Below are 13,656 nucleotides of genomic sequence, written 5' to 3' on the forward strand. Positions count from 1 at the left end.
GCTGCTTTGTTTTGGACAGGCTGTGGAAAGTCAGAATGGAAGCAGGGAGGCCATTAGCAAGGTATGCAATCGTCCAGAGAGAGATGGTGGTAAAAACAGAGGTAGTGATAGGTGATCAGATTCTGAATACATACAAAGCCCACCTGACTTTCTTACAGATAAGTTAGAGGCATATGAGAAAGAGAGGATCCATGGATGATTCCAAAGATTTTGGGTCAGATCACTAGAAGGTATAGAGTCACTGTTAACAAAGAGGGGAAAGACTGTGGGCATAGCAGGTTGAGGGGAAAGAAAGGAATTCAGTTTGGGATGTGGTTTTAGTTTTCTATTGCAGTTGAAATTACTACAGTATACCAGTTTAAAACAACATAAACTTACTAGTCGTTCTGTAGGCCAGAAGTCTGGGTGGACTCAGCTGTTTCCTCTAATTAGGGTCTCTCAAGGCCAAAATCAAGGTGTTGGATGGTCTGGGTTCTTATCTGAAAGAATCTGTTTCTACCGTTCGTCAGGTTATTGGCAGAATGAATCTGCTTATATGCTTGGTCAGGTTATTGGCAAAATTTGGTTCCTTGTGATTGGTTGTAGGACTGAGGTGCCCACTTCTTTGCTGCCTGTCAGGTGGGGATCAGCCCTTGGCTTCTAGAGCCTCTTTTTGTTTCCTTGTGCCATTGTCAGATGATCCCCTCCATCTCATAGGTAGCAATGGCATGTTGAATTCCTCTTACACTTGGAATTTTTTTTTGCATCTCTTTTGCTTTTAGTTGGAGAAAGTTCTCTCTTTAAGCTCATGTGATTAGATTGGGTCTACCTGGAAAGTCCAAGATAACGTCCCTATTTTAAAATCCTTAAGTTTAATTACATCTGCAAAGCCCCTTTTGCCATGTAATATAACATATTCACAGGTTTCAGGGATTAGAATGTGGACATCTTGGTTGAGGGGTGCTATCCTGCCTACCACAGATACGTTGGCGTTGAGATGTATCTATTAATATTAGACATCTGAGTAGATATGCTGACTAGCCAGTTGGATAACTAGTCTGGTATTCAGAAAAGAGGTCTCAACTTTGGATATTAAATGTGGGAATTATATGCATATGGAGTTATTTAAAGCCACAAGACTGAATGATACCACTAAGGGAGAAGTGAGTGCAGGTAGAGAAATAGGCCTTAGGAGGCTCAGGACCTCCTGTGTCGAAAGATCTGGAAGAGGAGGTACAACCGACAAAGGAGACTGAGAAGAGGCTAGAGTTTGGAAGAAAACTAACAGGATGTGGTATGCTGGAAGCCAAGTTAAAGAAAGGTGGGGATAAGTGAACTGTGTCATATATTAAGGACTAGCCCTTTTAGTCATTTGGAGGTCATTACTGACCTTGAACAGTTTTAAAGTACTGATTGAGGCAAAAGCCTGATTGGAGTGCTTTATAGAGAGAATGGGGGAGAAAAGTCAGACAGTGTGTGTAAATGAGGAGCTTTGCTATGAAGAGGAGCAGAAGAATAGGTTAGGGAAGTGGAGATAATGAAGGGTATTTTAAAAATAAGATAAATAATAGGATGTTAGGTACACTAATAGGAATGATTCAGTAGAGAGGAGGAATAATGAAATGATAGAAAAGACAGAAATATTGCTACAGTGATGTCCCCTAGAATATGAGAAGGGATGGGATTTTGGGGAAAATATCTTGTGATAAATCCAGACGTTTTTTGGTAAAGTAAGAAGCAATGCTTTTAGTTGTGACGATTTGAGGAGTATTAGAGATTTGAGTGAAGAAAAAAAGGCATGAGATGGTTAACTATAATAATGCAAAAGAAAATTTCCACAATGTTTACTATGATTTCTGGGTAGTCACAGTGTTCCACCTGAAGGTTCATGGGCAAGACTTAAAGGTGAGGCAGATTTACACAGCTTTTTGTTTTTCTCTATTCTTGTCCATCTCTATGGACGTGGGCACAGAGTAGGGTTTGGTCAGGTTGTTATTTTACCATCTGAATACAGCGAATGAGTGAGGGTAAATGCCAGGGGGGTTATAATGATGGATCATTATATTTAAACCCAGTGGGTAGGGAAATGAGGACAATAGATGAGGGATAGTATATACTGGTTCATGGTTTCTGGTGAAATTAAGGGATTGTTGAAGGCTGCGCATGGTGGCTCATGCCTGTAGTTTCAGTACTTTGGGAGGCTGAGGCAGGAGGATTGCTTGAGCCCAGGAGTTTGAGACCAGCCTGGGCAACTCAGTAAGACCTCAAAGATTGTTGGAGTAGTAAAGAGTGAATTAGAAATATGAAGTGGTATTTAAGAGTAGGATATATGAAATGGAGATTATTGAGGGTTTGAGATTATTTAATCATATCAGAATCTAGGATGTGATCAGGGCATGAGGGGCTGCTGTAGGGCAGAAGACAAGATCATTGGAAGAGAGGCTGTCAAGGAACAGAGAGACTGGAGGTTATAAAAGATTGTCTAGATGTATACTGAATTCTCTAAGAAGTAAAATAACAGTAGTGTTGAAGACTGACAGTAATGTAGGTACTAAGGTAGTGGTTGGCAAGCTTTTTCTGTCAGGGGCTGAATACTAAGTATTTTAGGTTTTGTAGGCCATACTGGCTCTTTTTAATACTCAGACCTTTGTTGCTGTAGAACAGAGTAGCCATAGACAATTTGTAAACAAGCGGATGTGGCAGTGTTCCAGCAAAACTTTATTTATGGACACTGGAACTTAAATTTCATAGAATAGTTTTCACGTGTTATGAAATAGTCTTCTTTTGATTTTTTTTTAAAAAGCCATTTAAACGTATTAAAATCATTCTTAGCTGTTGAGCTATACAAAAACAGGTGGATGACTAGAGGGCCTGTAGTTTGCTGTATCCTACCCTAATGATGAGACCTAATGGTTGCTAATGTCTGGTAACTTGAGATTTTTTTGCTGAAAGGTTTTAGAGAGTTGTAGAATTAACATTGAGGAATGAGGAAACCTACCTCATCTCCATACCCAGTGATACAAGAGCTGTGGGAGCAAAGTAACGTTGAGATAGCTACAGAGTAAACAGTGGGTTTCAGGGTCGATCTAAGTTTTTGTTGGAACAAGAATCAGAGGAGATGTTCAGAGAAAAGGATGGGGTACATTGCACCTTGTTCTCGGAGCACAGTGGAAGGCTTTCAGCTGTTGAAGGAGGGGTGGCAGGTGTGGACATAATAGGGGAGGTTCACAACCGTGTAGGGATGAGGCAGGTGAGGATGGACCAGGAGTCTTTTGATGACTGACATAAAAACAGGGAGAAAGTCATTATCCGATTGACCCTGGTAGACTTCAGGCAAATAAGATGAGGCCTTGAGTGTTTGAAGAGGTTGGGTAGAGAGGTAGTATGGGCTTCTTCTTGATCCTGATGGCTGGTAGAAGCCTTCAGTCATAGGTTCCTTTTTGGGGAACGGTGTCATTTTACATTGGTTCACCACACTCTTATCTTCTCTTGATGGAAAGATAGGGATAGGTCAGGGAAAGAAAGGCTGTTTTACCCAGAACTTTAGGGTTCCTTCTAGACTATATGGGTTTTTAAAAATTATTGATATATCGTAGTTGTACATATTTTGGAGGTACATGTAATATTTTGATACATGTACACAATGTGTAGACTCCATGGTTGATGATGGTAGAGCACACTTAAATTGAAAGTCAAGGGAACTTTAATTCACTACTGTAATTTTTAAATGTCTGTATCATGTAGTGTTTGCACAGTTTTAACCTTAGTTTACCATCTCTTACTCCTTAGTAAAAAATTCCGTTTCATTTATTTCTTTATTAACTTAGATTATACTGCCTTATATTTTTTAGTGCACTTTTTCTGTGACTAACCTTTAACCCTTTTGCATATAAATGTTTTAAAACTAGAAATTAGCAACAAGTATCTACTTCAATATTATGTTATTAATGTGGTATCACTATCACCTTTTAAATATTGCAACTATAATTTACTAGTGTAATATTTTCACACAAATCTTTGGTAACGATGGTAGTGGACCACCGGTGATACATAAGCATTGTTCACTAAGATTGTTATCAGAGGGAGTAAAAGTGTAAGTGTCTTTTCCAGAAGCCATAGCTCTTTGTTTCTATGATTGGGGGATTTTGGTTCTTAGGTAAAAGATGATTAGATGGAACACATAGGATTCTGTGTCTGCAAGAACTTGATGTACGGAGTCCTTTAATATGACAAAACAAGTAGAGACAGCTTATGTTTTTAGGAAAGTGTGGTTACTCCCCTGATTTCCCCAATTTATAGTCTTTCTGAGCACTTCAAACTAGTTTCCTTCTTCCCATGGTAGAAGAGGATATTGCCAAGGAAAAAAAGGGGAGATGCCAGGTGGGGTAGCTCACACCTATAATTCCAGCACTTTGGGAGGCCAAGGTGGGTGGATCATTTGAGGCCAGGAGTTTGAGACCAGCCTGGCCAACATGGTGAAACCCTGTCTCTACTAAAAATACAAAAAATTAGCTGGGCATGGTGGCATGTGCCTATAATCCCAGCTACACGAGAGGCTGAGGCAGGAGAATTGCTTGAACCCCAGAGGCCGAGGTTGCAGTGAGCCAAGATGGTAGCACTGCACTCCAGACTGGGCGACAGAGCGAGACTCTGTCTCAAAAAAAAAAAAAAAAAAAAAAAAGGTGAGAAAGTCTTCGTTTTGACCTGATAGAGATTTGCTTGCTGTCAATGTTATTTTGGTAAAGAAATTCGTAGATGCTTATAAGCCACAGTTCTCTTTTTAAATTGACAAATTGAACCTCACAGCTTGTTAAAAGCAATCTTTAACACATTACCTTTCATTATTATTAGAAGACTTAGTTGTTTCTCAGCGTCATTATAAATAGCTCACAATTTTTAGTTGTTTGAATTTTGAGGTAATTTAGCTTTTAAAGTACAGCTTTTGTTTGTTTTAAGGAAGGTTTTCGTGCACCAGAGATACGTGATCAGGTTTTTGTCTCTTTCTCTTTGCAGCATTTTTTAAAAGAGGATAAAGGAGAACCTAATTTTAAGTAAATCCTTTCAATTAGCTGTTAAATTTTGTACTGATTTTTAAGACTTTCAGGAGAAAATTTTTGGTAAAATAAGTTAATTTTTATGTGTAATTTAAAAATTTTAATGTTTCTTTAAGGATCATCTTTTAAAGAAATCTTTAGAACTTTGAAGTTATAATGAAATCCAAGTGGAGATTTAATCTTTTTTATTGTCACTTTATCTCTCTGTTCTTTCCTTGTATTTTTACAACACAATACAATTATATTTAAAAGTTAAGCTTTTTTAAAAAGTAAATTTAATTTTGAAGGAAATACACACAATCTTAGGATCATAAGGTATTCAGAAGTCTAATATATCATAAATATATTATACACGATACATTGCACATATTTAAAATAGAAACATTGATAACATTTTGACATATGTACACATTAGTGAAACTACCACCACAATCACAGGCAACAGTTTCCTTGTGACTTCTTTTAATCTCCTTCTCCCTGAGTTCACATCCTTCCCCAAGCAACTACTGATCTGCTTTTTGTCAGTTTAAATTAGTTTGAATTTTCTGTAATGTTAAAAAATGGAAACATATAGTATGTATGCTTTTTCTGTCTGGCATCTTTCAGCATAATTATTTTAAGATTTTTTCTTGTTGTATGTTTTAATAGTTCATTTTTTGGCTAACCACAATTGTGTGTATGGATATACTATAATTAGCTTATCCATTCAACAATTGATGGACATTCAGGTTGTTTTTAGTTTTGGGCTGTTACAAATAAAGCTACTATAAATATTGTATAAATCTTATAAGATATATGTTTTTATTTCTCTTGCATGAATACCAAGGAGTGGAATGGTTGGGCCACATGGTAGGTGTGGCTCACCATGGTAGGTATATGCTTTTTTTGTATGTGTGACGGAGTCTCGCTCTGTCGCCCAGGCTGGAGTGCAGTGGTGCAATCTTGGCTCACTGCAGCCTCTGCCTCTTGGGTTAATGCATTCTCCTGCCTCAGCCTCCCGAGTAACTGGGACTACAGGCGCCTACCACCATGCCCGGCTAATTTTTTTGTATTTTTTTAGTAGAGATGGGGTTTCGCCGTGTTAGCTAGGATGGTCTCAATCTCTGGACCTCGTGATCCGCCCTCCTAGGCCTCCCAAAGTGCTGGGATTACAGGCATGAGCCACCGTGCTTAGCTGGTATCTTTTTATGTGCATATTTGTTATTTGTTATTTTTGGTGAAGTGTTTATTAAGCTCTCCCCACCACCTGCTTTTTTTTTATTGGCTTGTTTTGTTGTTATTGACTTTTGTGAGAGTATGTATTCTGGATGCAGGTCCTTTGTCAGATACATATTTGCAGATACTTATCTCACTCTGTGGCTTATATTTTCATTCTTTTAATCTTTTGAAGAGCAGACATTCTTTATGAAATTTAGTTTATGAATTTTTTTGTGTTTTCTTTTACAAGCTTTTAAAACTATAATTCAGGAGTATATAGTCACACAGCCCAGACTGGTTAGCCAAATCTAAAATAAACTGGCTTCTTATCACAACTAATGTGTGAACATTGCAACCCTTCTTCTCTCCAGAATGACCATAAAAAAAGTTACTGTAGAGAAACAGAAACCTAGGTTTGAGGCAAAACGTAAAAACCAAAGGAAAAATAGCAATTCAGTGGTTCGTTGGTGAAAGCAGGAAAGTTTGTGCCCTTCACTGGGCTACTTTGCTCTTCTTACTCTTAATCTTTTTTTTTTTTTTTTGAGACGGATTCTCGCTTTGTTGGCAGGGTTGGAGTGCAGTGGTGTGATCTCGGCTCACTGCAGTCTTTGCCTCCTGGGTTCAAGGGATTCTCATGCCTCACCCTCCCGAGTAGCTGGAATTATAGGTGCCCACCACCACGCCTGGCTGATTCTTGTATTTTTAGTAGAGATAAGGTTTAACCATGTTGGCCAGGCTGGTCTCAAACTCCTGAGCTCAGGTGATCCACCCGCCTTGGCCTCCCAAAGTGCTGGGATTACAGGTGAGCCACAATGCCTGGCCTTAGTCTTGCTCTTTTTGTTCCTCTTCTTCAGTCCATCCATGTTAGACCTCAATAGGTTTGAACAAACCATCTATTCGTTTCTTTGGAGCTTACCACAGTGATGATTGTTCCTTGCTAGTGTATAAAAATCCTGTTGAAATTTCTGTGTTTATTTTGTATCCTGCCACCTTGCTTAAACTTTTTTTTGAGACAGTCTTGCTCTGTTGCCCGGGCTGGAGTGCAGTGGCTCATTGCAGCCTTGACCTCCCAGGCTCAAGCATACTCCCACCTCAGCCTCCTGATCAGCTGAGACTAGAGGTACACACCACCATGCCCATCTAATTTTTTCTTATAATTTTTTGTAGAGATAAGTTTCGCATGTTGCCTAGGCTGGTCTTGAACTCCTGGGCTTAAGCCATTTGCCCCCCCTTAACCCACCAAAGTGCTGGGATTACAGGCGTGAGCCACCATGCCTGGCCACTTTAATTTTTGTTTGCTTACATTGGGCTTAATTGGCTCTTCTTTTTCTACTATTTTGAAGATTAAGGCCAGGCACGGTGGCTCACGCCTGTATCCCAGCACTTTAGGAGGCTGAGGCAGGTGGATCACTTGAGGTCAGGGGTTCCAGACCAGCCTGGCCAACATGGAGAAACTCTTTCTGTACTAAAAATACAAAAATTAGCCGGGCATCGTGGTGCAGGCCCATAGTCCCAGCTACTCGGGAGGCTGAGGCAGGAGAAGCACTTGAACCTGAGAGGCGGAGGTTGCAGTGACCCGAGATCTCACCACTGCACTCCAGCGCGGGTGACAGAGCAAGACTCCATCTCAAAAAAAAAAAAAAAAAAAAAGCCAGGTGTGGTGGATCCCCTGAGGTCAGGAGTTCAAGATCAGCCTGGCCAACATGGCGAAGCCCCGTATCTACTAAAAATACAAAAATTAGCTGGGTATGGTGCCGGACGCCTGTAATCCCAGCTACTCAGGAGGCTGAGGCAGGGAATCACTTGAACCCAGGAGGTGGAGGTTGCAGTGAGCCAAGATAGCGTCATTGCGCTCTAGCCTGGGTGACAATCAAAACTCTGTCTCAAAAAAAAAAAAAAAAAAAAAAGATTATTGTTCTTCTATCTTCTTTTCTAATATATTCATTCAGTGCGATAAATTCCTCTTTAAATGCTGCTTTCCCAGCATCTGACAAATTTTTATGTTTTATTTTCATTTAGTTCCATATATTTTAAAATTTCTCTTTATATTTCTTCTTTTACTTATATGTTGTTTAGAAGTGTCTTGTTTAATCTCCATGTGTTTTTGGATTTATGGCCACCTTTCTGGTATTGATTTCTGGTTTAATTTCACTGTGGTCTGAGAGAGCAAGGCACACTGTATGATTTCTATTCTTTAAAATTTGTTAAGGTGTGTTTTATGGTCTAGAATGTGGTCCATCTTGGTTAATGTTCCATGTAAGCTGGAGAATAGAAGAATGTGTCATCTGCTGTTGTTGGACGAAGTAGTCTACAGATGTCAATTATATACAGTTGATTGATAGTACTGTTGAGCTCAACTGTGTCCTTAACTGATTTTCTCACTAGTGTATCTGTTAATTTCTGGCTGCAGTATCAATTTCTATCAGTTTTTGCTTCATATATTTTGACTTCTTTTGTTAGTCACATACACATTAAGGATTGTTATGTCTTTTTGAAGTATTAACACCTTTATCTTATTTTATTACTCTCTTTAGTCCTGATAACTTTCTTTGCTCTGAGTCTGTTCTGTTCATAATATAGTATTTCTGCTTTTTGAAAATTAGCATTAGCACAGTATACCTTTCTCCATTTCCTTTTTATTTATTTACTTTTATATGGAACGCTTCACGAATTTGCATGTCACTCTTGCACAGGGGTCCTACTAATCTTCTCTGTATCATTCTAATTTTTGTATGTGTGCTGCCAAAGTGAGCACGATTTCCTTTAAACTCTACATGTCTTTATATTTAAAGTAGGTTTCCTGTAGACAACATGTAGTTGCTGCTTGGTTTTGGATCTGTGACAATCTTTATTTTTTAATTGGGGTATTTAGACCATTGCCATTTAAGGTGATTATTGATATAATTGGGTTAATATCTACCATATTTATTATTATTTTTCATTTTTAAATTTTTGTTACTGTTTTTGTCATTCACAGCTTTTGTGGTTTTTATTGAGTATTTTATATGATTGCATTTTCTTGTCTTTTTTTTCACCCTCTCATCACACTTTAAGTGTTTTATTTCACTGTCTGCTTGATTGCATGTTTTCTGAGGCAAATTCAGATATCATTCTTACACTTAGTGCCTGTGTGGGTAAGGTGTTTTCTTCTGGCTTCCTTCGTGGATTTTAATCTTTGAGCATGGAGGTGTACTTCCCTTACCCCCTCCTTTTTTTGCATTTATCTTGTTTGGCATCCTCTAAGTTTCTTTGATAGCTGGTTTGGCTACTGCCATTTATTCGAGGGGAAGTTTTTGGACGTTATGATTTCAAATATTGCTTCTTCTCTTTTCTTCTCTTCCCTGTATTCCCATTTTAACTATGTCATGTGTTTTGTATATGTCCCAGCATTCATGGATATTTTGTTTGCTTTTGTTTTCCAGTCTTTTTTCTCTTTCCTTTTCAATTTTGGAAGTTTTTATTGTCATATCCTCAAGCTTAAGAGATTTTTTTCTTGAGTTGTGTCCCACTCTGCTGATGATTCCATCAAAGACATTCTTCATTTCTGTTTGTTTTTGATCTCTCTGGCATTTCTGATTTGCTTTCATTATGCATATGTTCTTGCATGTTGTCTACCTTTTCCATTAAATTCCTTATCATATTAATTATAGATTTCAAAAATTATTGGTCTCATAATTCCAACATTCCTGCCATGTCTGACTTGGTTTCTGATGGTTTTTCACTTTATTTAAACTGTATTTTTTGCCTTTTGTGTTGTTGTTTCAAGTTGAACATTATATCCTGGCAAAGGGAACTGCACTATAAATAGGCCTTTAGTTAACGTGCTAGTGAATTGTGGGGAACAGGAGATCTTATATTTCTATAATTAGGTTTCAGTCTTTAGGTGAACCTCTACCCCTGGAATGTGAACTGCATAGGGGCTTCTTAGTTATTTTTTTCTCCCTCAAGTGGGACAGGATGATGGTTAGAGTCGCCTGAGGTTGTACATTTCCCTTCCCTAGGTTAGTTAGGCTCTGACAAAAACCTCCACAGGTTAGGATCTGGTTAAATAGTTAAATAGCAGGCCTTGTTAGGAAAAAGAAAGCTCTGGTTATTTCAAAATGGTTCCTTTTCCCCCTTTATTGGAGGGATCTCTGGGGGACTCTGTCTCCGGTATTCACTCTGTGGGCCTGCTAGAGGTCCTAGAGGTAAAATTCACAAAAGTGTGAGGGTCCCCCAAGACCAGGTCCCCCTGGAGGTTTTCTTTTTCGGGCTTGTTCACACTGTGCCTCCAGCAGTATCAACTAAAATAGTTCAGGTTTTCTTTCCCTGGTACTGGTTCCTGCAGAGGTTTCAGCTGCTGGATTTGCTTAAGTAAGTTGTAAGTCTCTCTGTGCACTGATTTGTCTTTCCTTTTTTTTTTTTTTTGAGACGGAGTTTCACTCCTGTTGCCCAGGCTGGAGTGCAATGGTGTGATCTCGGCTCACTGCAACTTCTGCTTCCCGGGTTCAAGTAATTCTCCTGCCTCAGCCTCCCAAGTAGCTGGGATTACAGGCATGTGCCACCATGCCCAGCTAATTTTTGTTTTTGTTCGTTTGTTTGTTTTGTTTTTGTTTTTTGAGAGAGTCTTGCTCTGTCACCCAGGCTGGAGTGCAATGGTGTGATCTCAGCTCACTGCAAGCTCCATCTCCCAGGTTCACACCATTTTCCTGCCTCAGCCTCCCGAATAGCTGGGACTACAGACGCCTGCCACCCCACCTGGGTAATTTTTAAATATTTTTTAGTAGAGACGGGGTTTCACCTTGTTAGCCAGGATGGTCTTGATCTCCTGACCTTGTGATCCGCCTGCCTCCACCTCCCAAAGTGCTGGAATTACAGGTATGACCCCCAATTTTTTGTTTAGCAGTTTGCCCTGTGACCTCTCAATTCACTGATATAAGAGTTGGTGATTTTCAGTTTGTTGAGTTTTGTGTTTGTTTTAGGGCAGAGCAAAGACTTCTCTCTGCTCCTTATATGCTCAACGAGAAACCAGAATTCCTAGTATAGGCATTTAATGATATAAACTTCCCTCTTAAGTAGGGCTTTATGAATTTTGATATGTTGTGTTTTCATTTTTATTTAGTTAAAAAATGCTTTGTATGGTTTTCCTTTTCTTCTTTGACCTATGAGTTACTTAAAAGTGTGTTATTTAGTTTAGAAATATTTGGATATTCACTTTGTTACTGATTTCTAATTTAATATTTTTGTGTTATCATTCCTTTTAAGTTTATTGATACTTTTTTGATGCAGAACATGGATTATCTTGTTAAACATTCTATGTATGTGTTTTTTTTTTGTTTGCTTTTTGTTTGTTTGTTTTTTTTTTTTGAGGGGGAGATAGAGTCTCCCTCTGTCCTGGAGTGCAGTGGCACGATCTCAGCTCACTGCAGCCTCTGCCTCCCAGGTTCAAGCGATTCTCCTGTCTCAGCCTCCCAAGTAGCTGGGACTTACCCAGCTAATTTTTGTATTTTTAGTAGGGACAGGGTTTCACCATGTTGGTCAGGATGGTCGCGATCTCTTGACCTCGTGACCTGCCCCCTCAGCCTCCCAAAGTTGCTGGGATTACAGGCGTGCCCGGCTCTATGTGTTTTTTATAACAATGAATGTGTATTCATTTGTAGTTGTGTGGAGTTTTTCTGTAAATGTCCATTAGGTCAAGTTGATTTATATTAAGTTTTCTATATCCTTACTCGTTTTTTGCTTGTTTGTTCTGTCAGTTATTGTGAGCGGTGGGTATTAGGTGCAGAAACAATTAGGATTTTTGTATCTTGATGAGTAAGCCACTGTATTTTGTTAATATTCTTTGTTGTGAAATCTACTGGCTGATATTAATATAGTGAATTTAGCTTTCTATTGATTAGCTTTAGCTTGATGTTTCTTTTCACATGCTTATACTTTCTTTGTGCCTTTATATTTAAAATAGGCTTCTTTTTTCTTTTCTTTTTTTTTTTTTTTTTTTGAGATAGAGTCTCGCTCTGTCACCCCGGCTGGAGTGCAGTAGCATGATCTCAGCTCACTGCAACCTCTGCCTCCTGGGTTCAAGTGATTCTCCTGCCTCAGACTTCCAAGTAGCTGGGATTGCAGGTGTGCATCACCATGCCTGGCTAATTTTTGTATTCTTAGTAGAGACGGGGTTTCACCATGTTGGCCAGGCTGGTCCTGAACTCTTGGCCTCAAGTGATCCACCTGTGTCGGCCTCTTAAAGTGTTGGGATTACAGGCGCGAGCCACTGCGCCTGGCCTGAAGTTAATTTAACTTAAAATAGGCTTCTTTTTTGTTTGTTTGTTTGTTTTTTTTGGGGGGGGGGGGGTTTCACTCTTGTTGCCCAGGCTGGAGTGCAATGGCACGATTTTGGCTTACCGCAACCTCCGCCTCCTGGTTTTAAGCGATTCTCCTGCCTCAGCCTCCTGAATAGCTGGGATTACAGGTATGTGCCACCACGCCCAGCTAATTTTGCATTTTTAGTAGCTACAGGGTTTCTCCGTGTTGGTCAGGCTGATCTCCAGCTCCTTACCTCAGGTGATCCACCCTTCTCCGCCTCCCAAACAGCTGGGATTACAGGTGTGAGCCACTGCGCCCAGCCAAAATAGGTTTTTTTAAGGCAGCGTATAGTCATGTTATGAGTTTATTCATTCATTGTTGCAATCTTTGCTTTTTAATTGGGGTGTTTAGAGAATTTACAGATAATATGATTCTCTGAGTGGTTGTATTTTATTATAATACTGTTATTATTATTATTATTGGAACAGGGTCTTGCTCTGTCTCCCAGGCTGGAGTGCAGTGGCTTGATCTCGGCTCACGGCAACCTCTGCCTCCTGGGTTCAAGCGATCTCCCACCTCAGTCTCCTGATTAGCTGAGACTACAGGTGCAGCTAATCTACAGGTAGAGACAGGGTTTTACCATGTTGGCCAGGCTGGTCTCGAACTCCTGACCTTAGTCGATCTGCCTGACTCCAAAAGTTCTGGAATTACAGTGTGAGCCACTGCACCTGGCCTCTGTGTAGTTGCATTTTAATCTAACATTTGCTAATCCTTTTCTTTTTGCCCATCATTTCTCTTCCCTTCTCTTTCTCTGTCTGCTGTATGTTTGATTGAACTTTTTTTATGATTCAGTTTTGCCTGATTTGCAATAATTTTTTGTTATATTGTATTGTTTGATTTAGAGAGTACGGTATAGCGTCGTTAGCCTATCAGAGTTTACCTTCAAGCAATATTATACTAGTTTACATAAAGTATAAGAACCTTGTAGCTGTATACTTCTCCCCTTTTGGTTTTGTGCTATTTTTATCACTTATTGTTTTTTTACATATATTATAAAACACAATTTATTGTTACTACTTTTGCTCTATATCATCTGTCTTGTAAAGAGTTTAAAATAGGCCAGGCGCGGTGGCTCATGGCTGTACTC

General features: G+C 39.3%; 1 protein-coding gene and 1 pseudogene across 4 annotated transcripts in view, besides 2 other annotated features; one reads left to right on the top strand and one right to left on the bottom strand.

The window, feature by feature from the left end:
- MLLT10 (MLLT10 histone lysine methyltransferase DOT1L cofactor) overlaps positions 1 to 13,656 on the top strand; it is a 209,875-nt gene that overhangs the window by 119,001 nt on the left and 77,218 nt on the right. The window lies entirely within an intron of this gene.
- RNU6-1141P (RNA, U6 small nuclear 1141, pseudogene) lies at positions 8,879 to 8,985 on the bottom strand (annotated as a pseudogene).
- Positions 10,776 to 11,426: an enhancer, noted in NCBI's record as "H3K27ac-H3K4me1 hESC enhancer chr10:21952461-21953111 (GRCh37/hg19 assembly coordinates)". NCBI's record gives its function as "activates a minimal SCP1, AML or CMV promoter by ChIP-STARR-seq in primed H9 embryonic stem cells {active_cell/tissue: H9 hESC(primed)}" and the evidence as "EXISTENCE:reporter gene assay evidence [ECO:0000049][PMID:30033119]".
- Positions 12,354 to 12,853: an enhancer, noted in NCBI's record as "H3K27ac hESC enhancer chr10:21954039-21954538 (GRCh37/hg19 assembly coordinates)". NCBI's record gives its function as "activates a minimal SCP1, AML or CMV promoter by ChIP-STARR-seq in naive H9 embryonic stem cells {active_cell/tissue: H9 hESC(naive)}" and the evidence as "EXISTENCE:reporter gene assay evidence [ECO:0000049][PMID:30033119]".

Source organism: Homo sapiens, chromosome 10 (assembly GCF_000001405.40).
Source record: "Homo sapiens chromosome 10, GRCh38.p14 Primary Assembly".
Classification (NCBI taxonomy): domain Eukaryota; kingdom Metazoa; phylum Chordata; class Mammalia; order Primates; family Hominidae; genus Homo; species Homo sapiens.